This window comes from Homo sapiens, chromosome 9 (genome assembly GCF_000001405.40).
Source record: "Homo sapiens chromosome 9, GRCh38.p14 Primary Assembly".
NCBI classification, from domain to species: Eukaryota; Metazoa; Chordata; class Mammalia; order Primates; family Hominidae; genus Homo; species Homo sapiens.
The window spans coordinates 134,660,121-134,682,837 of record NC_000009.12 but is presented as its reverse complement, the minus strand read 5'-3'; the positions used below and the strand labels follow the sequence as shown (position 1 = coordinate 134,682,837).

The window sequence follows — 22,717 nt, the reverse complement described above, 5'->3', positions numbered from 1 at the left end:
GCTGGGCATTTGCGATCCATCAGAGCCTGCTCCTTTTTGCCAACAAATGCACAGGGATGCTCCCCTGGCCCCAGAACCACAACACACCAGCAGATTCCACCTGGTCACTCGTGGTCACTTGGGGGTGACTTTTCCTCAGCTCCCCCGTCCCGGTGCCCCCCTGAGCCGGAGCAGTGCCCACTGTTACTTTCCAGTCAAGGAGTGCCCCTCAGTTCTGACTCGCCCACCTGCCTGACCTCCGGGATTCCTGCGCCCTTCCTGGGCAGCAGGCTCTCCCCCACCCCACCAGGCAGTGTGGTAGGATTCTAGTATCATCTTTATCTCCTTATCTCATTAGAAGGTTATTTCCAACTCTGTCCCTGGCACTGGGCTGGCTCCGTCGGTCCTGGGGTCAGGGTCTCTGGGGAAGTGTGCTGGCCCAGCCCGATCTCTCTGCCCCATGTTCACCCGCACAGTCCCCTCCCCATGCCCGCTGTGGTGGCTAAAGGAAGCCGCAGCTCTTGGGTGACACAGGTACAGAGTGCTCCGCTCAGGACCCGGCCTCCAGGCAGCATGGCTGGGGGAAGGCGAGGCACTAGGCTGGGTCCCTGGCACCCAGCCGAATAGTGCTGTCGGCTCTGGGGACACCCAGTCCAGCCCCCAGCCCGAACAGGGCAGCATTTCTGCCTGGCCCTTAAAGCTCCCCGGCCCGTCCTCCAGAGGTCACCGCCAAACACTCAGCACCACGGTCCCAGACACTGAGCCCAGGCCACGTCCTGCCAAATGTCTGTGGCCTGCACAGCCAAGGGACCAGGGTGGACTTGATAGAATGAGCTGGGGATCAGGGGTTCGGGGAAGGCAGCTGTGGGGACAGACAGAGAGCAAGAGAGAGAGAGAGGGAGGGAGAGATGGGGAGAGAGAGGGAGAGAGAGAGAGCTACACAGACAGAAAGAGAGAGGGAGAGACAGAGAGAGAAAGAGAGGAAGAGCGAGGAAGAGAGGGGAGGTTTCTGCAGGCCCCAAAGTCAATATCCTTAACTTCAAGAAAAACTTGAGAGTCTCTAAATAACCCCAAGCTTGAGGTCTTCACAATTCTCGGGCTAGAACTCTAATTTTAGAGCCAGGAGTCATAAATAGCATCTGGGCTAAGAGCCTTCATTGGGAAAGAGGAATCGAGGTACAGGGCAGGTGAGCATGGTCACTCGCAGGCTGGTGCCATGCTGGGGCTGCAAGGGAGTCACCCTCAGTGCCCAGTCCACCCCAGTCCCAAGCGCTATTCCACTCTGGAGCCAGTGACAGGCTCCCGAAACCACAGGCACACGCTGGCCTCTCCAGACACAGCTGGCAGCCTCCATTCCGGTCCCACCCGTGGCCCCATCACTGGAACCATATCCCTGCTATGTGTGTTCCATGGGCAGCGTGTGTCTCCTCCACGGGCTGTGAACTGCAGGAGGGCAGGGGCCCCGCACAGCCCGGCACCCGCAGATGCTCGCAGAAATTGTTCACGAAGCCATCAATTTGCTCTGTTTGTAAAGGGCCCTGCAGAGCCGGGGAAGGGCGGCTGTCCCTCCTAGTTCCCTTCCTGTATTTCCTGGAAGCCAGAGAGCCACAGTTCTTGAAGGGCCGGGCTGAGGGCCGAGCCATCGAGCCACCAGGGAGGGTCTGGCCCAGGGCTGAGGCCCCCCCACCCCAGCCCTCCCTGCAAGGCAGGCGGCCTCATCAGTGAGGTCAACCCAGCAGGTCGAAAAACAGAGGCGCTCTGGAGGCTGCGACTGAAATTCTTCCTCAATGACTAAACCAGGGAGCAAAGCAAAGGGGCAGGGGGTGGGAAATGCACAGAGGGCCTGGGGCTGCAGCACAGGCCGAGGACACCATCCTGGGAGGATGGCAGATGGCCCGGCCTCTCCCGCTGCCCCCCGAGGCTGCAGTGCCAGGCGGAGACCTGGAGACCTGAGCCCAAACTCCCAGCCTGTCCCTGCGCTCACTGCCACTTCGCCAAAGCAGGTTCCATGCACCCACCTAAAAGCTCCCATCAACGTCCAACTCCTCTGCCTGATGTCAAAGTCCCGGCCCTCACCCGTCCTTCTGCCCCTGTGGAATTTTCCCGGGAGGCCCTGGCTGTCACAGGTCCATCTCCTCACCAGTGTCACCGTCCTGCAAGACCCCATCATGGTGCATTAGAACAGCGCTCCCTGGGGTTGTGCAGTGCACAGCATGGCCACCCTCCCCAAGCCCCTGGGGCCCCACCTCAAGGCCTTTTGCACTTCAGGACCTCACCGGACATGGTACAGCAGAGAGCAGCAGTTTGGAACTGACCAGGGCTAGTCAGGATGCCAGCTCCGCCCTCCACAGCGGGGACCAGGTTGGTGTCCTCAGCCATGGGTCATGGAGGAACAGGTACAGGTGTGCCGGGCAGGGAGCTCGCACCTGGAAGGGGCCTGCTGTCCCCACCCCTCCATGCCACCAACCTTTGTAAAAATGACTCTGCCCACCTGCCCAGCTTGTCTGTCAACAGAGCCTTCAGGACTGAGCTAAGTCCACATCCAGACACCTGTGCACCGACCCGCAGTGTTTCACAGGGTGAGAAAATGGCCTGTAGCCGGGCCTGGAGGCTCTATGTTAACCTTCGCCTGGATGGCTGCCCTGAGTGGGCTCTGAGGTACCCAGAGGCACTGCGCTTGTTCATGGCTCCCAGCTCATCATTCCTTGCTGAAGAATGAAGGGCCCGTCCAAAGGGCCTCCGGGGTAGTCCTTCCTGAAGATGACAGTGTCACTGCTCTCACTGCATTGCTTATTATGAGATTCTCTGTGCAAAGGATCTATGGCTCATCTGTGTCTGACACTAGACCACCCTCCCCACAGGCACAGGCCCACCTGACCCGGCACCACCCCACTCCCGGGGTGGACTGACTTGGATCCTAAACCCCCCATGTACAAGCCCCATGGTCCTGGGCAAAGTGGGTCCCATCCCAGAGGCTGCCTGTCATTATCTGTAAGAGGGACATATTGGCAGTGGGGCCTCGCGAGGGGACTGGCTGGCAGGAGCCTGAGATCTGACCACCGGAGAGCACCGGGGCACCTCCGCAGTGCCCCCAACCAGCCCCACAGTGCCCCTTAAGAAGCCCCACAGTGCCCCGTAACCAGCTCTGCAGTGCCCCCTAACCAGCCCCGCAGTGCCCCAAGAAGCCCCGCAGTGCCCCCAACCAGCCCCGCAGTGCCCCCTAAGAAGCCCCGCAGTGCCCCCAACCAGCCCCGCAGTGCCCAACCAGCCCCACAGTGCCCCTAGCCAGCCCCACAGTGCCCCCTAAGAAGCCCCGCAGTGCCCCCAACCAGCCCTGCAGTGCCCCCAACCAGCCCCACAGTGCCCCTAACCAGCCCCACAGTGCCCCCTAAGAAGCCCCGCAGTGCCCCCAACCAGCCCCACAGTGCCCCCAACCAGCCCCACAGTGCCCCCTAAGAAGCCCCACAGTGCCCCCTAACCAGCCCCGCAGTGCCCCCAACTAGCTCTGCAGTGCCCCCTAATAAGCCCTGCAGTGCCCCCTAGCCAGCCCCACAGTACCCCCAACCAGCCCGGCAGTGCCCCCTAACCAGCCCGGCAGTGCCCCCTAGCCAGCCCCACAGTGCAGGGGACAGATCGGGGAGGGACTGCGGGGTGGTAGGTTAGGGCCTCGGAGACTGCTCTTTCCACACAAGACACAAGACAAGGAGGCCCAGAGAGCGAAAGGAAGAAAAGGATGATCAGTTTCCCAGCGCTGATGGCAGGGTATCACTTTAAGGGTGTCAAGTAGTGAAGAGGAGGCTCCAAATGAACTGAGAATTGATGAGAACTGAAGGCCTGAAAGGCATCTCGGATAACAGAGGGCAGATACCACGTGACCCCAACACAGAGCCACTGAATGGGACTGACCCAGCAAGCCTCGGAGCCTCACCCTGCACAGATCTAACGCCTGCCCCCCAGCAGGGGGTAACACCAACCAGCCTGATCCCTGCTCCCTCTTCCCAGGCTCTGCCTTGGCAAAAAGCAGACACTTCAGGGGCCACCCAGTTCCAACGGCATTTAGCTCCAGCCCCTTCACCCAGGGCCCGGCCCACCCGTTCCTCCAGCGAGGGCCAGTTTCATTTTGTCTGCACTGCGAGAGTCCTGGTGGATCACTTGGGCTGTCATCCTGGGTGGTCCAGCTGCCCAGCCACAGGGAAGGAAATGGGGGTCTCTGTCGCTCACTGCAGGAGTGCACATCAGCTCAGGAATGACAGCAGCCAGGATAAAAACAGGCTCTGAAGAGACCATGGAGGAGCAGCAGGTGGTGAGAAGCAGGTGCTTGCCCTGCAGGGATGCAGACAGCTTCCCGGGGCTGGCACCAGCCAACACACCTGCCGATGGGACCCCTGAGTCAGGGACACACACCGGGGCGGCAGGCCACTGCAATGAGCCTGTTGTTGGGGGACTGGACCCTGGGCACCATCCATGCACCCGAGCACCATGGGGGAGGGGCAGCTGAGGACTGTGCACCTGTTATGTGCTCTGCGCCCAGCTGCCACACTTCCCTTATTCATCAACTTGGCCCACAGTGTCGGCCCCTTCACTGGTACATGAGGAAACTCAGCGTGAGAGAGGTAGAGCAAGCTGCCCATGGCTTCAGAGCCACAGACCACCAGAGATACAGACCACCTGAGTTTCAGACAGCATCCATTTGGGTCCAAAATCTTTCCTCTGCACCATGGGGCTGCAAGCTGGGAGAATGCCTCCAAGACCCCTGCAGATACCCTGCTGCGGAGGGAGTGACGCTGGGGAGAGCACTGGGGCCATGATGAGGGCAGAGCGAGGCTCAATCCGAGGAAGAGCGGAATTGTTCTTCACAGGATGTTCAGGACCATAGGAGGCCTTGCATGGAGAGGAGGCCCTCCATACCCAAGCTATGGGGCGACAGAGAATCTTGAGACCCCCAGCGGTGGAACAAGGGCCAGGCAGAAGATGCCCCTCCCGTGGAACCATGCCATGGGGCGTTCCAGGCAGCTGTGGAGAAAGCAGCCTATTCACAGTCCTCCCGCATCCACTGTCTCAACCACACACTGCAGCTGGGCACTCACTCAAGGACAGACACACAGACACGTGAAGAGATGAAGGAGGAACAGGGAGTAAGATGGCCGGACTGAGAAAGGATGGAGGGATGGATATAGACAGATGGCTCACTACAGGATGGAAAAGGGCGCTTGAAGAATGGCCCCAGGGACGGCTGGATGAAGGGTGGCTGTGCCAAGGAGTGATGGGGGAAGGAATGTCATCACCCCGAAGATCCCGCTGATAAACCTCACCCTCCTATCATTTCAGCATCAGGGGCAAGAGCCTGGCTCCACGAACCTGAGCATTTGCACATGGCCTCTCTCTACTGGATGCACTGGATTCCTGCCTGTGTGGGCAGATTCGGGATTTAGAAGGCAGTGAGAAACCTCTCCTGCTGTCCTGAAATGCTCAGTGGAACCCAGCACAAGGATGTACCTGAGAACCAAGGGCAGCTCCACCACCCTGAGCCTTTTCCCCTGCAGGAAAGGAGGTGTAATACCAGGGCCTGCCTTCCCCGAGAAGCCATGACTGGTAGCTGAGATCTGGATAAAAAGGCTGGACTTTCAGGCTTCCCACTCTCAAGTAAGTTATTCTGAATATTCAAGGTAGCATCCAGCAGAGACACTGTTCCTTCATGAAGCTCAAGGAAGATGAGAGGCCCTGCCACCAATCACGAGGGGATGGACCGCCGCTTCCTGGTGTCCCTGCCTCTTCTGTGTCTCCCCAGCAAACCACAACCAGAGCACTCCATGGCCTCCCCAAGCCCAGGACTGGCAGCAGGTGCTCCAAGGGACTTGCTATTTCCCAGACCGTGAGCTCCTTTAGGGAAGGGACAAGTCTTGCCCTTAATCCACAGCAGAGAAGAGAGCTTAGCTCAGAGCAGATGCTTGGTACAGCGCTCAAAGGAAGGAAGAAGGAGGAAGCCAGCCAATGAGCAAACAAAGGAAAAAATAACCAAAGGAACCAATCAACAGATGATCAAACCAACCAGTGAACAAATGCAGGAATGACCCAACCAAAGAGCAAATGAAGGAACAAATGAACAAACCAACTAAGGGACAATAAGTGAACAATGAAGCACCACCCCCACCAGCAAATAAAGGAGGGACTAAATGAACAAATCAACCAATGAACAAACAAAGGAACTGTGCATTCGTGGCTCCAAGACGAATGCCAGTGGAAGAAGGAGCCTTTCGGGAGCAGCAATTTTGCAGGATCTCAATGCAGATGTACACATGCATTGACCTGCCATGCCCCCCTTTAGGGCTGAATCCTACAGAAAGGCTTGCTCTGTGCCAGGACATCCAAGGCTTGCTCACAGCAGCAAAGAACTGAAAACAAAGCACATGCCCATCAATCGGGAACTGGTTAAATCAACAAAGCTGCATTTGCCAAATATGCTGCAGAGGCCAGACAGGAAGGGGTTCATGCAGACGGCCTGAGATGGAGAGATGGCCCAACATGTCCTTAAGCCATGGAAATCCTTATAAAGCACAATCCCTTTCATCTTAAAATAAGTAAAAGATGGCAATGTCATCTGATAAAACACCATGCAAATACACACACCAGTAAGTCCAGAACAATACCGATCAGAGAGTTGAGGGGTTACTTCTGGAAAGGGGCTGAGGTTTGGTGGAGCAGTGAAGGGGAAGGTCTGCTTATCATTCTCTATATCCCTCCACTTCATAAAAATTGTGTAAATACTTAGCCACATACAACTGGCATAATTTTGTTAACAAAAAAAAAATGCCAAAACAAAATTTTTAAAGTGTGGAAGTTTCAAAATGGCCACAAAGTATCTAACATAACAGCCCATCAAGGGGTGGGGTCTATGTCCCCTCCCTTAAATCAAGGTGGGCTTTGTGGCCACCTGACTGATAGATCGTGATGGAAGCAACACTGCTGGCTCACAAGTCTAGGCTTTAAGAAACTGGGAGACTCTACTCCCATGTCTCTTGGAATGCTCCTTCTTAGGACCAAGACACCATGCTGTGGGGAAGCTCAAGCAGCCCCTTGGAGGGCTCCATGTGAAGAGAACCCCAGGCCCTCAGCCAACAGCCAGGATCAACACCACACATGTGGAAAAGCCATCTAGAAATGGATCCCCCAGCCCCAAACAAGCCACTCAACCTGAAGTCATGTGGAGCACACAAAGGGTCCCCAACAAACCGTGCTCAAAACGCAGATTCACACACAAAATAAGAGGATGCTATTAAGCCACCAGGTATTGAAGTGATTGTTCCGCAGCAATAGAGAACCACAACAACAACAAAAAAGAACAGGCAATAAACAACAAGATGTGTACAACAGAAATACACAGGAGATGTTCTTGCAACTAGAAAAAGGGGGGAACAAATAAATAACATTCGATGTTACTAGTAGCTAAATACAAATTAAATCAAGAGGACTTTGTCTCCCATCAAACTGGCACAAATTTTTTTTTAAGTGACCAATTTTTGGCAAGGATGCAAATTCTCATTCAGTACCCACAGGAGTCTAAATTGACACCTCTCAGGAAACAGTTTGACACTTAGTACTGAAAGTCTGAGGGACATTCATTCTCTTTATGCTCCTATGGGAGTTTAACACTGAATTTGAGATGAATACAAATGCTTAATCAAAACGCTCACCCAACAATTACATGCAATACTGAAAAAACATAGAAAGAAAGCAGATGTCCCAACTGGAGAGGACTGCACATATCACAGTACACTCTGTACAACCAACAGAATACCATAGCCACTCATCTGTGCCTTAATGTTACATTAATATTACCATTTATTTCATTTATTAATAATTATTAGTATTAATAAGGGAATATTGAAACGTGAGGAAATGCTCAAGGCATTTGTGGCTTAAGTCAGGTTCATGGAGGTATAATTTATATGCAGTAAAATTCATTCTTTTTCTTTTTTTTGAGATGGAGTCTCATTCTGTTACCCAGGCTGGGGTGCAGTGGCGCCATCTCAGCTCACTGCAACCTCCACCTCCCAGGTTCAAGCGATTCTCCTGCCTCAGCTTCCCAAATAGCTGGATTACATGCGCCACTATACCCAGCTAACTTTTGTATTTTTCGTAGAGACAGGGTTTTGCCACGTTGGCTAGGCTGGTCTCGAACTCCTGACCTCAGGTGATCCACCCACCTCGGCCTCCCAAAGTGCTGGGATTACAGGCGTGAGTCATCGCACCAGCCAAATTCATTCTTTGTAAGTGTGCAGTTGAATGAGTTTGGACAAATGGATAGTGCTGTACCCTCCACACCCTCATCCAACACACACACACACTATCAAGATACACAACATGTCCATCACCCCCAGGAGTTCCCTTATGTCTCTCTCCTCACTCATCTTTTTTCTGTCCCTGCAGTTCTGCCTTTTCTCAAATGTCATATAAATGGAACCGTGTCCCCTGCGTCTTTCGTGTCTGCTTCTCTCGCTTAGCACAGTGCTTTCGTGCCACCCTGTTCGGGCACTCATGCCTTCTGTTGCCAAGCAGTATTCCCGCTTGTTTGTCCCCGTACCAGGTGGGCACTTGGGCTGCTCCCTGCTTGAGGCTATTGCAATAACACAGCACATGAGTGCTCACATACATGTCTCTGTATGGACGCATGTTTCATTTCTCTTGGATGAATGCCTATACATGGAATTACTTTGTCCTGTGGTAAAGGAAGGGCTAATCTTATAAAACACAGCCAAACTGTTTTCCAAAGTGGTTGCACCCCTTTGCATCCCCACCAAGAATGGGTGATAGTTTTTCCACATCCTCACTCACACTTTTGCAGTATGTCCTTATGGTTTTAAGTTGTATTTCTCCAATGACTAACCCTGACAAACATCTTTTCAGATGCATGTTGGCACGCCTCTGTCTTCTTTTCTGGAACATTTGTCTGAATCTTCTGCCCAGTTTTAAGTGGGGTCATTTGCCTCCATGCTGTGGAGTTGTGACCATGTTTTATGCATTTTAGACATAAGTTCTTTATCAGATATGTGTTTTATAAACATTTTCTTCCAATCTTATTACCTTTCCATTTTCCAACAGTGTCTTTTGAAAAGTATAAGGTGTTGTTTTAATAAAGTCTGATTTATCAGCTTTTTAATCTTTTAATGGCTCATAGTTTTGTTTCCTATCTAAGAAATCTTTGCCTAACTCAAGGTAAAAAAACTCAAGATTTTCTCTTTTGTCTTATGCTTTATAAAAGTTTTAAATCTTACCTTTAAATACATGACCCATCTTAATTTTTGTATATTATTTGAGGTAAGGGTCATGGCTTATTCTATTGCAAATAGATATCCAGTTGTTTCAGCACCATTGTATCTTAGCATTTTTTTTTTTTTTTTTGAGATGGAGTCTCGCCATATTGCCCAGGCTGGAGTGCAGTGGCGTGATCTCGGCTCACTGCAGCATCTTAGCACTTTTATGGAAAACCAAAAGATTATTTACATGTGAGTCTATTTCTGGACTTGATTCTATTCCATTGGTCTATATGTCTTTCTGTCAACACTACACTGTCTTCATCACTATAGCTTTAGAGCAAGTCTCAAAATCACAAAGCATAAGCCCTCCGATGTTCTTCTTTTTCAAAATTGTTTTGGTTATATTAGGTCCTTTGCATCCCCACATAAATTTCAGAATCATCTTATCAATCTCTATTTTTAAAAAGCCTGCTGGGATTTTAATTGACATTGAATTGAATCTATAGATCAAGTCGAGGTGGAATAATATCTTAACAATATTGAGTCTTCTGGTCCATGAGAATGGTATATCTTTGCATTTAAATCTTAAGATCTTCGTTGATTTATCTATGCAATATTTTGTAATCATCAGTGAATAAGTCATGCATATTTTCATTAGATATATCTCTAAGTATTTTATATTTTTAATATTGTTGTAACAGCTTTTTAAATTCCTGTTTCTAACTGTTCATTGCTAGTATCTAGAAATACAATGAATTTTTGTAAATTGACTTTGTATTCTGTCGCCATGCTAAACTTTTTAGTTCTAGAAGTTATTTTGTAGATTCCTTAGAATTTTTTTCACATAGTCACTAATGTGATCTGCAAATAAAGACAGTTTTACTTCATCCTTTCCAATCAATATGCCTCTTATTTTATTTTCTTACCTTATTTCACCAGCTAGGATCTCCATACAATGTTAATAGGTGTGATACGAGCAGACGTTCCTGCCTTGTTCCTGATCTTAGGGTGAAAGCATTTAGTATGTGGATTTTACATGAATGTCCTTTATCAAATTGAGGGGCTTCTCTTTTATTCCTAATTTATTGAGATTTGCTCATCATGTTTTAAGTTTAAAACTACTACAAAGTAGTATGTAATCCCAATTTTGCAAATACAGGCATGGAACAAATAGTAGAAAGTAAATACATCAAAATGTTCCTTTAGTAATGTGTTTGGTTATACTTAATAGAAACCAACATCATTAACATCATCATAATCATCACCATCACCATCATAATGGTTTAAACAAATAAGACATTATGACTCATTTTCATCTTCTTTTTTATACTTTTTGGTAGCTTTTAACACTTCTATCATGGACACATATTGCTTTTATAACAAATGAATGGAATAATAAATGCCAATTGGCATCTAGCAGGAAATTGCATTACATAATTAAGTACATAGATATTTAACATCTCTCCATATCTAACTGAAGCTGCAAGACAGTCATGGATCTTTGGCCTTTGCCTTGATAATGGGCAATTTTTAACTGGCCTTTATAAAACAAAACTGCATTTGCACTTCTCAGGAATGTCTCCACTTCCCAGGAGTGTGACATTTGAAGTGGGCCCCCCCACACCAAGTGTCCTCACAGGGCCCTTGGTCAGGCCCAAGTGCAGCTTGCACTTGCCCTTTCAGACAAAACTGTGGAATGTGGACAAAAGACAAACGCGCCTGTTGGCTCATTGTTCTTCCCCAGCCCTGGCATCGGACAGCACTTGCCTTTACGGTTTCATTACAACGGGCAGATTTAGAAATACAAGGAAATTGGCCCCGGGAGATGGTTTAGCACCTATTAAATGCTGCAAAACAGACAACGTGATAGAGGAAGCTAAAAGGAATACACTTCCAGTTACAAATGAAAGCCCCTCTCTGTCCACTCAACCCTTCACGCACTCGTCCAGATGTGTGGTTCCTCACACCCATCCGAGGGGAGCCACTTTAGAGCTGCGGGTGAGCCCAGTGGGGTTCCTCTCTGGCTCTGCTGACTCAGCTCTGAAATTATTTTATTCAGTTCTTTGATGCAAGTAAAGGAACATTGTGGTGGGTCACTGTGACCTTTGGGAGGAATATTTTACATTACTTCCCCGGGACCAGAGGCATTTTTCAATTACGAGAGCTTTGCAAGTTTTCAAAACACTAGAAATGGACTCAAAACCAGCTACATGGGCCCTGAATGAACACATAACTGTACTGTGCGAGATCCCAGAGACGCAACAAAGGATGCACCACACATTGGTGCACTGGGGGCAGGACTTGGAGCTGACGTTCCCCTGTGAGTCTGCACACCCAGTGGGTTAATGGAGCCAAGCTTCAAGGTCCCCTCCGCGGTGGGCAGCTGGGGGCTCTCCAGGTGTCTCATGCGCAGGAGCTGTCTGAACAGCTCCGTCTGCCCTCCCAGAAGTGGGTGAAGCACAAGTGTGTGGGGCCACATGGAGCTCATTTTCACACTGAAAAAATCCATCTGCAAGAATCCAACCTGCTGCCCCAGACGACTGAGTCAGGCTGCGGCCCCAAAGCTGCAGCAGGCCCCGACTTCACGTCTCCTCACAGCAGCCCAGGCCCACCTCTCTACCAGCCACCTCCAGACATCAGCTCCCTCCCGGCCTTGTGGTATTTCAGTGTGGAAGGCAGGCCCAGGCACATGCGTTTAGTGCAGCCACCAGGTGGGGAGAAGACCCGCAAGTCAGCAGAACCCCCACACAGACAGAGCTGTCCACTCCATCACCGCAGTGGGGACTCAGCACACAGATGGCCAGAGAAAGGGAGGGAAGGAGGGGAAAGTAATGAGCATCTAGTGAATGTCTGCTGGGTTCTAGAAGATTCCCTTACATTTTCTGACTCAATGGGAGGAGAGGTCTAAAGCTCTACATGCATGTGAGTTTCCACTCTTAAGAGTAATTCAGCTTCTCGGGACAGCCTGTGGAGCAGGAAGTGCTGCTCCATCCTCCAGACAACGACCCGGGGGCTTGCCTAAAAGGGTCTCCAAGACGTGCCACAGGCCCAGGAAACAATCACACCAGGGCCCAAGCATTAAATCACAGCTCCCCACTGCCTCTCTAGGAGCAGAGAGGGGGAAGTAACTGGCTTAGCATGGGTGAGCAGCCCCAGTTCTCGGACATGGGGTCCACCTGGGTTTAACACCTAAGGATAACACTGCCTGGGGCACAGTTGCTCAGGTGACAACTGCCTGTTGGTTGGAATGTAATTCTGCAATAAAAAGGCTTTAAAATGTCCCTATGCTTGGATGCAGTGAGTCAATGTCTAAGAATCCGCCCTAAGGAAATAATCAGAGAGACAGAAAGGATTTATCAGAAAGATGTTCATCCAAGTGTCATTTATAACAGCAAACGATTGGAAACAACCCAAACCCAACATGAGAGGAACAGTTAAGAAAACTATGATACAAACATGCGGTGGAATGTTCAGCAGCCGTTGAGATATTTACAAAGAGCTGATAATGACATCAGAAAATCTCTGTGTCTAAGTGCAGGGCACAACACCGTTTCTGCACATGAGTTCAACCATGCAAAGAAAAAATGTGAGGAAAGGAAAATAAAGTCATTTTGATATTTCCCAAATGTACTATAATGAGTATGCGTTCCTTTTAGAGTCAAGAAAAGTTAACAAAGTTATTTGGAGAATGAGTTGCGTCTCTGAATCTATAAGCCAATATCCAGGAACATGTGGACTTTAAATTCCCAGTTCTCAGTTCCCACCATGGAGTTGTCTTATGTCTTACTGTCAACAGGAATGCTCTCCTCACTTCTCCCCTCCCATCCACACCCCACCTCTGCGGAGAGCCAGGGTTACTTCCACATCCCCACTTCCTCCGGCGTGGTAGGCTGCCTCCTCTCATAACTCTTAAAAAGCACTCAGCACCTCATGATGATTCTGACTGTACCGTCGGCTGCTGCTGCAACTGGATTTCTCTTGTCTCTCAGTTCAAGCCAACAAAACAGCTTGAGAATCTAGTTGTATCTGGTACCATTCAAAGCACTGCAGAAACTAGTAAGTTAGCCACTCCTGGCCGCCTAGTGTAGACAGTGGAAGTCTGAGATGGTCGTAAACCACCCTAACACAAAAATGCCAATCGCTATGGTAGAGGAGGCAGCCCAGTGCTATGACAAAATCATGGACAGATGAATGGATGGGTGGATAAGTGGATGGATGGATGAATGGATGTGTAGATGAATGGATGGAAGAAGGGATGGAAAGAAGGAAGGAAGGAAGGAAGGAGAAGGGAAGGGGAGGGGAGGGGAGGGGAGGGAAGGGAAGGGAAGGGAAGGGAAGGGAAGGGAAGGGAAGGGAAGGGAAGGGAAGGAAAGGGAAGGGAAGGGAAGGGAAAAGGAAAGGGAAAGGGAAAGGAAAAGTGAAAGGGAAAAGGAGGGAGGGAAGGAAGGAAGAGTAGGTGGAAGGGAGGGTGGATGGGTGGGTGATTGAATAGATATATGGTCTGGATCAATGGGTGAAAGGATGGGTGGATGGATGGATGGAAGGATGAGTAGATGAATGGATAGGTGAGTAAATGGATAAATGGGATGGATGGTTGGGTGAGTGGGTGGGTGGGTGGATGGATGGATGGATGGATGGATGGATGGATGGGTGGGTGGGTGGAAGGATGGATGATTGGATGGGCAGAAGGATGGATGGATGGATTGATGGATGAATGGGTAGATGGATGGATGAATGGATACATAGATGGAAGGACAGTTGGATGGTTGGTTGAATGAATAGGTGGGTGGACAGGTGGATGAACAGTGAATGGGTACATGAGTATATGGACACATGGAGTATGGACAAATGGGTGGACAGATGGATGGGTAGATTAATGATATGGATGCACAGGTGAACGGATGGAAGAACAGTTGGATGGATGGGTGAGTGGGTGTCTGATTGGATGGATTTATAGTTTAGATGGATGGGTTGGTATATACATGGATATATGGGTAGATTAATGGTATGGATGGACAAGTAGATAGATGGATGGATGGATGCATTGATGGATGAATGGGTGGGTAAAGACACCAATACACCTTTGCTGATTTAAACTAAATTTAAGGCACCCAATTTCTTGCTGTTCTCTCCTGCTACCCTACCTGGTGTTGAGTGATAGCCAAGCTAAATGCCTCACGCAAAGACCAAGATCACACAGTGATCAGGCGTTTGCACATTCTGTTCCTCAGACCTGGAATCCTCCTCTTCCCCCGACTCCCACTCTTGGTGAATTCCTATTCATCTCCTAGACCTCATCTTAGACATTGCTACCTCTGAAAGGGCTCCTTAAGCCTCATGCTGGATCAGTGGCCATCCTATGTGTTTATTCTTATAGCATTAGATTGAACCATGTGAAATGGCCAATGTTTGATCATTCTGGCCTACAGGATAGCAATTCCACATGGATCACAAGATCTTCTGATTGTCCAATCCCAGCAGGACACAGGACTCGAGAGCAGGGACCACACTTCACCTTTTTGCTTCTGACATTTGGGGCTATGACTGACCCAAAGTGCCTGGTACATCCACAACACTGTCAGCTGAAAAGGTGGATGAGCAGGTCTCAACTCCTTCCCACCCCTCACAGCTCTGTGTTCCAACACAACAGACCAGCTCAGCCTACCTGGTAGGAAGAGCAGAGGCTGAAGTTTGGGGGAAATGTCATGTTCCAGCAGGGACTGCATAGAAACAAGACACAAAACGCCCTAGGAAGTGAGGGATTTCAGCTCCTTTTCTAGGATGAACGGATCCCTATTGCTCCACAGAGCCCCCTGTCCTAGAGTCAGGCACTTGTCACCCCCTCCCATGACTGTCTGTGCCTGAGGACTTCCAGGTGAAGGACCTTCAAATCTTGTGTCTGGGCTGGCTTCCTGGGAGGTGGGGCACCTCTAAGCAGAGAATCAGCCAGAAAGGAAGACTGCAAGGATACCTGTGATGTGGAAAGAGATAAGCCTAGCGACAGCAGGTGGCCCTGCTGCTGGACACCAAGGTGAGGCCCTAGTGGGGCAGTGCATGGAGATGGTGCAGTTATGAGTGACAAGTGAGCACCAGGGTGTGGGGTGGTGCTGGCAGGGCTGGAGGTCACCGGCCACACCACTTCCAAGCCATCAACTGCTGAGCACCAGTGACCAAACAGAGCCCATCCCACTGCAAATGCTGTCACATCCTTTGTCCCTCTGACTCCCTGAAGAAGGCCCTGGTGGTCAGCGTTCCACAGCCACTGATCCTGAGAGGGCCTGGAGGCATTTCCAAACCTCCAGTGCCCACCAGATAGGCTAGGGACAGGTGCCATGCATGGCCAGGATGCTGCCAATTGTGAATAAGGTACAATGTGTGTGCATCCATTCCACGGGTGAACATCAAATAACAGGACAGGCACTGAGCCCACAGAAGTTCTGTGCTGGGAAAGTCACCATAAGCAGCTAGATCCAAGGTCCCAGCTCTCAGTCGTATGGTTCCTGGCAATTTCCTTCATGTTCCTCTTTTCTAAAACAAGCTCGTCATTATGCCCGATGACTGAAACATAATGTCTAGAGATCAATGCCAGACCCACAGGAAGTAATCAAAAAATGGTTATGTGTCATCACCCTGTCATCAGCACTGGGGTCATGTCATCCCCATCCTCGAGGAGATGTGAGTTATTTTGCAAAGGCAGCTCAACATGTATACCGTGAAAGAAGAAAATAGTGAATTTAATGAAGGACCAAAATGTTTTACCCTATCGCACAGGTGAAGAAACTGAGTCCCAAAGAGTCTACTCCCCCAAATCTCACAGACTCAGTGCTGAATCAAGGCCAGCCCAGGTTTGTGTCCCCATACCCGCTGGCAGAAGAAAAGGGTCACGATGGGCTAGCCACACTCCATCCTCCAGGCACCCCCAGTGAGGGAGCCCCCTGGTAGAGAAAGGACAAACTAGCTTACCCCACCCTGAGGCCAAACAAGAGAGGCAAAGGCCTTGACCTTCACGAGCTCTCAGTCATCCAGGAGAGAGAAGAGGAAGACGCATGCCAGGCTGGGACTGTCCCTGGCCAGCCCAACCTGTGTGCCTTTGAGAACGAGTCCCCTGAAGCCTGCTCATGCCCACTGACACCCAAGGCCCAGAGCCTCCCCAAGAAGAGAATTCTCCTTTCTGGACAGACTCGCCTGAGGCCAAAAGCCACTCTCCAGAGAAGAAGGCCATGGGCCTGAGCAGAATGGCCCCAGGAGCCTGTGCTGAGCCCAGGGACCCCGTGCCAGTTTCTCTGCCCCCAGTTTACTAAGTGACACCAGGAGAGGTAGGTACCAGCCTCAGGTTCCCCACCTGTAAAATGAGTGGATGAAGGATGGCAACGACAGTTTCAGTTCTGAGCATCTACAGGGGCACACTCCTATTTTCGGAGCATTACTGAGTGATCATATATAGTCAATCCAGCCTCTGCCTGGGTTGATCTTGTTTCCTGTCTTTGTCCTTTTTTTATTTTTATTTTATTTTATTTCGAGATGGAGTCTCGCTCTGTCACCCAGGCTGGAGTGCAGTGGCGCGATCTCGGCTCACTGCAACCTCCGCCTCCCGGGTTCAAGCGATTCTCCTGTCTCAGCCTCCCAAGTAGCTGGGACCACAGGCATGTGCCACCACACCAGCTAGTTTTTGTATTTTTAGTAGAGACGGGGTTTCACTATATTGGTCAGGCTGGTCTTGAACTCCTGACCTCAGGTGATCCACCTGCCTTGGCCTCCCAAAGTGCTGGGATTAGAGGCGTGAACCACCATGCCTGGCCTTTTTATTTTTTAAGACCACAAGTTGTTTTAATTGACTAAGTCATTTCAGCCAAAGGCCAGCTGCTTGCTTGCTGGAAAGGTTCTCAGCTCCCAGAGCCGCCAGCCCCACGTCCCTGTCCCTGCTCTGTGTTGTGCACACACAACTGTCCACCTTCCAAAGACCCACCTGCTGAACAACAACGCATTCAACCCCTTTCAAAAGATTCAGGAGAGACCTGCAGCCTGTGCACCCAGCCGTCCACTCTACAGAAACTACACACGAGTCCCAATTTGTATGCATCCCTTTTCAATAATCATAGACAAGCCTAGATTTGTGTGTCTTTTCTTTGAGTAGAGATGGATCCATTACGACGAACATTCTTCATTCTGCTTTGCTTTACTTAACATATCTTGGAGATTGGTGTACCTCAGCAAATGAAAACTTCATCTTCTTAGCTGCTGTGCTTGTTTTGTTCTGCATGGTAACCCACCTAAACGGCTCTCGCCCTTCCAGACAGTGCTGCACAGCGGTTCTCCACACACACGTATATCTGCAGGAAACATTCTGGGAACTGGAGATGCTGGTCAAAGAGTATGTGTGTTTTTGTTTGCTTGTTTGTTTGTTTTGAGACGGAGTCTCTCTCTGTCGCCCAGGCTGGAGTGCAGTGGCATGATCTCGGCTCACTGCAACCTCCGTCTCCAGGGTTCACGTGATTCTCCTGCCTCAGCCTCCTGAGCAGCTGGGATTACAGACGCCCGCCACCACACCTGGCTAATTTTTGTATTTTCAGCAGAGACAGGGTTCCACCATGTTGGCCAGGCTGGTCTCGAACTCCTGACCTCAAGTGATCTGTCTGCCTCAGCCTCCCAAAGTGCTGGAATTACAGGCGTGAGCCACCGTGCCCAGCTCTAGTTTTTGTATTTTTAGTAGAGATGGAGTTTCATCATGTTGGCCAGGCTGGTCTCGAACTCCTGGGCTCAGTTGATCCACCCTCCTCAGCCTCCCAAAGTGCTGGAAATATAGGCATGAGCCACCATGCCCGGCCAAGTACATGTGTTTTAATGCTTGGATAGATATTGCCAAATGCCTTTCAGAGAAGGCACCATGGGAACACCCACTGCCCCTCACAGGAGCCAGTGTCACAGACTCTCAGCTTCTGTTCTCTGTCCATCTGGCCGAGGGAGCAGTGCCTCTCCCTGGGGATTCACCTCCATTCTCTCCTTGTGAGTAAAGTCTAACATCTTCTCACATGTTTAAAAGTCACCTGTATTTTCCTTCCTGAGAACTTGCCATGTGTGTCGGCCATCTTGGTGTTTGTTTGCTGGACTTTTCTGACTGATCAGTGGGAGTTCCTTGCAGGTCGACCCCCTTTCCGTCAGATAGGTGTAGATTCTCTTCTTACGGTGACCAGTTGTTTTTTTGCTTTTCTTTTGGCCAGATAGAAAATCTTGACTTTTATGGGGTCAAACTGTTTTCTTTTATAACTGCAGGGGCTTACGTCATACTCGGAAAAGCTTCCCATCCCAAGACTGTAAAACCTGGCCTCCCATGTTTTCTTCTAGTAGTTTTATGGTTTCATTTTTAAAGTTCGCATCTCAGATCCATCTGGAATGCATTTTGGTAGAAGAGTAGGGCAGGATCCAATCTTTTTTTCCCAGACGGATTCTGCAACACTCTAGCCCAGTTCAATGATGAATCCTGTCTTTCCCAGCCAACATGACAGGCTGTCTTTACCAAACCCTACATTTCTGCCAGTGCCCTGGCTTTAAAGGGCAAAAGCTCTGCCTTCCCACCAGCTGACTGATTCCCGAGGGTGGGCAGGGGGTCTGCTGCTTGCCCAGCACCCCCAAGATGTTCCCTTCCCCCTGGAGAGCCCAAGAAGGCCTCTAGCACCCTCCGGTGGTGGCAGCTCTGGTGACCCGCCACAGCAAGCTTCCTCAACACCCCTGCCCTTGCAGTATCAAAAAGGGGGAGCCACCCCAATATCCAATAGGCGACACTTTAAATTAGACTTTTGACAGCTGTCGTGAATGAAAGAGAATGCCTGCACTCTAATGTGGCATGACAAAGTCCAAGTCCAAGTCCTCAGGGCAGAGGCCTAGGGATGGTCTAGGCGTTCCCCATCCGCCACCACAACGCATTTCCCTCTGTACTTTCTTCTCTGTATTCATAATCTGGGTTTGGGAGAATCTGGGTTTACAGTCATTTTTATTTTCTTCTTTATACTTTTTGGTGTTTTCCAAAATGACTATAATGAAATGTATTATTTTCATTAAAAATAGATATTAAAGAAGGAACTGGAGGAGGAGGAAAATGCTCAAGTGACATTTATCCTCCCCCCTCAAGTGCCCATGGCCTCCCAGCCCTGCCAGGTTGGCCAGGGCGGCCTCCTTGCACCTCCCCAGCAGACTCCCGAGGCCTCTGAACACCTGGGCCACACTCCCTCCCCCAGCCCCAGCCCTTCACCCTCTTAGGCTATCAGGACAGTATGGGGACAGCAGAGAGGAGAAGTGTGCTACGTTCTGGGACAGGCCCCCGGCCACCACACACTGACTCCAGGATGAGGAGCCCAGGTGTTCAAAGCCTCAGGGCCAGCCCAGGTCAGGCCAGGCATCCTCTCTTCTTTCTTGGCCCACACGGCCCTCCTTCCAGATAGGGGCTGCGTCCGATGGATGCACCCAGCACAGCAACGTGCAGAGAACAGTTGTTCAGGAAACGTCGAACTTCATTTTGAGAACATGGTCTCTTCAACCACCCCCTCAGCAAAGCCACCCACAGGGCCTTTGACATCGTACATGCTCACAGAAATGTGTGGCGAGTTGAATGCAAAGGCAGTATTTTTAGTAAATTTCCAAACATGGAGGCTCACAGAGCAGGCAGTAGCTGTGCAGCAAACACTCATCGGTCTCTGCTAACGAGGCAGATGAGGTTCTACTATAGCTAACAGCCCCAGGTTTAGAGTGACCAACTCTGGTGCAGAACTTGCGGCCCGAGGAAGATGTAATTAACAACAGATTCAGAGCATCGCTTTGCAGCCCAGAGGGTTTCATGCGAGTTAGCCCGTCCCCATCCAAGCTGGCAGCCGTCCATGTCCCCACCTCACTCTAGAGCTGTGAAAGCTGAGGCCGGGAGAGAGATCAGAGGAGAGATATGGGCTGCAGAGCATGAGGGTGGAGAACAACCCCCAGAGGCCCTTCCATCTGGGCTGCTCTCTTAAATCAACCCTCACTTCTACCCTCAGCCTCCCATCACCCAAGGAGCGCGGAATGTCCCCACTGGAGAGATTCAAAGTCCTTGGCAGGCAGCACTGGGCATCTACGTAGGGGTCAGGAAGGGTGCTGGGGAGGCCTAGGCCAGCTCCACTGGCACCGGCAGGCCTGAAAACACAGGCTTCAGAGCTTCCCAGGCTGTTAGGAAAGTCAAAGTGGAAAAGAAGGAGGCAGCCGGACTGGGCTGGAAACCAGCTGAGTTGTCAGAGAAGAATGTGCGAAGCCCTCAGCTTGACATATCCCAGGGAGGGTAGCTGCCCTGAGCGGCCTGGAAGTCAGGGCCCTGCCTGGGGGCAGTTATGTGCTGGCCGCGTACACGACTGCAGAGATCAGATCAGGAAATATTTTCACAAGTGACTAGAAAGAGACCAGACTACCCTCCTTCAGAGGAATTTTTTTTTTTTTTTTTTTTTGGCCAAGATATTGACCAGGCATCACATTTTATGGAGAAAGGCACATACTTAGAGCCCAGTAATTTCATTTGGGCTTAAACTCAGCACAGGGAGGGCTGGATTACGGAAGCCAACAGACAGGCACAGAGTCAGGTTCCCGCCTCTGCGTGAGTAACCGCCCCAGAGAAGGCGGCTTTCAGCATGGAGCACTCACAACACTGGCATCCGTGTCCAGTTGAATGCCATCCTGGGACTCGCCTTAGCATCCTAGAGAACAGAAGCCGCTGGAGGGAAGGGCTGGAAAGGGAAGAAGCGGTCGGAGGAACAGCGAGGTTGGCACTGCTTAAGGAATTCTGGAGCACAGCTGGAAGAGCTCCTGGGAGTCATTTATAGGGTGAGATGATTGATCCCAGAATTAAAGACATTTAGGTTGAAAGGGCCTGGAGAGATTACAGCTAAGAAGGTGCTGGGTGACATCTGGGAAAACTCTCAGGAAGATGCAGTGGGCTGGGCAGGGTTGCATGGGGAGGGGGGTATGGGTGCAGCACAGAGGGGACACTGGCGTCTAAGAGAGCCACCAAGTCTCAGCTCTGCTCCCTATTGGCCAAGTCAACTGGGCACGTCCTCACAGAGTCAGGAGAACCGTACTGACCTCACAGGACTGGTGGGTGGAGTGAAAGTCACCGACAGAAAGCAGTTGGTGCTGGGAGCCATCAGCCCATCCGTCAGCATCTGCCCACAGGACTGGAGGCTCCTGTACCTCACACACACGCCCTGCTGCAAACTGGTCATCTGCTTGGGGACCCCTTGAAAGATCTGGGGTGGTGCAAACAGCTGTGTGAAGCTCAGCAACACATGGCTGAGCCCAGATTAATGTCAGATGTGGGACAATTAGTGAATCCCTGATCCCAAAGATCCCAATCCAAGGAAGGCTGATGGGCAGCTTCCCTGGATGCAGCACCGAGAATAGTGTCCCCGACACTTCCCCAACCAAACTCCCCAGGCCACCCTAGGCAACTCTCGGCTTCCTCTCCCACCCAGCCTCTTTGGGGTCAGCAAACCCAGCATACCCCACCTCTGCCAGCCAGTGGTGGGTGTGGTAAGCTGAGATCACTCTTCTGGTACCTTCCATCCTCCCCTAAAAGAACCCAGGTGCATGGTTCACAGCTTCTAACATCTGCTCTCCACCCCACTTCAGAGAGCTACTTCAAAACATAGCAATTCTCTGGGCTGGTCAGCACCCTCTGAGTTTACAAAGCACTCACAATTCAACCCAGTGACCATTCACTGAGCACCTCACAGTGGCAGGCACTCTGAGATGCAAGAAGAACTCAAAGAGACCTTGCCTGTTTCTATAGAGATCTAAACTGTGCCTCCTTAGATGCTCACCACAAATCTATGAGGTAGAGAGACATCATCAGCTCCATTTTACACATGAAGAAACTGAGGCACAGAAGAAAGTTATGGTTTTGAGGTCGCACCATGAGTACTCTAGTACAACCCAGGCCAAGCCTAGGTTTTCACAATGTCTAGTAGAGCTGGGATGCAATACCCTCCTTAACCTCCAGGGGCACCACTCCCACCACTGGTCTCTAGCTAGACACTGAAGTTTGAGGCTTTGATGTCATGAGCATGAACTAGGGCTTTGGGTTACCACTGTTTACAGTGAATTCTGGCTACTGAGGTGACCTGAAACTAGAAATGCCTAAGACCACATATGCAGCAGCATCTCTATTCCACTGGTTTCTAATAAATTGAAACTTCCTAACTTTTCCTAATAGAATCTGTCTGGGGCATACAGTAGGCGTAGGTGAGTTACCCAGGTAGCGAATCTTCAGAGGACTTTGACAATTCTTTAGGACTCATGGTCCATTTTAAGTGAAAACCAAGAGTAAAACTCTTTTGAGCCTGGTCCTTGGCAAACCTGAGGACTCTCATGGCACATAGAACACATCGTTCTGCTAATAGGATAAAGGGTGGACTTGGAAATCAGGCCTGGGGCACTGCTTCTCTCAGAGTTTGCATTTTTCTTTTCTGAAATGC

The 22,717-nt window shown here is 50.5% G+C and overlaps 1 protein-coding gene across 3 annotated transcripts in view, besides 4 other annotated features; it reads right to left on the bottom strand.

Annotated features, from left to right (window-relative positions):
• Positions 1–22,717, bottom strand: part of COL5A1 (collagen type V alpha 1 chain) — a 203,041-nt gene that overhangs the window by 162,006 nt on the left and 18,318 nt on the right. The gene's annotated exons all lie outside the window — the stretch shown is intronic.
• Positions 691–1,210: an enhancer, noted in NCBI's record as "H3K4me1 hESC enhancer chr9:137573474-137573993 (GRCh37/hg19 assembly coordinates)". NCBI's record gives its function as "activates a minimal SCP1, AML or CMV promoter by ChIP-STARR-seq in naive H9 embryonic stem cells {active_cell/tissue: H9 hESC(naive)}" and the evidence as "EXISTENCE:reporter gene assay evidence [ECO:0000049][PMID:30033119]".
• Positions 1,211–1,731: an enhancer, noted in NCBI's record as "H3K4me1 hESC enhancer chr9:137572953-137573473 (GRCh37/hg19 assembly coordinates)". NCBI's record gives its function as "activates a minimal SCP1, AML or CMV promoter by ChIP-STARR-seq in naive H9 embryonic stem cells {active_cell/tissue: H9 hESC(naive)}" and the evidence as "EXISTENCE:reporter gene assay evidence [ECO:0000049][PMID:30033119]".
• Positions 1,732–2,251: an enhancer, noted in NCBI's record as "H3K4me1 hESC enhancer chr9:137572433-137572952 (GRCh37/hg19 assembly coordinates)". NCBI's record gives its function as "activates a minimal SCP1, AML or CMV promoter by ChIP-STARR-seq in primed H9 embryonic stem cells {active_cell/tissue: H9 hESC(primed)}" and the evidence as "EXISTENCE:reporter gene assay evidence [ECO:0000049][PMID:30033119]".
• Positions 2,252–2,773: an enhancer, noted in NCBI's record as "H3K4me1 hESC enhancer chr9:137571911-137572432 (GRCh37/hg19 assembly coordinates)". NCBI's record gives its function as "activates a minimal SCP1, AML or CMV promoter by ChIP-STARR-seq in naive H9 embryonic stem cells {active_cell/tissue: H9 hESC(naive)}" and the evidence as "EXISTENCE:reporter gene assay evidence [ECO:0000049][PMID:30033119]".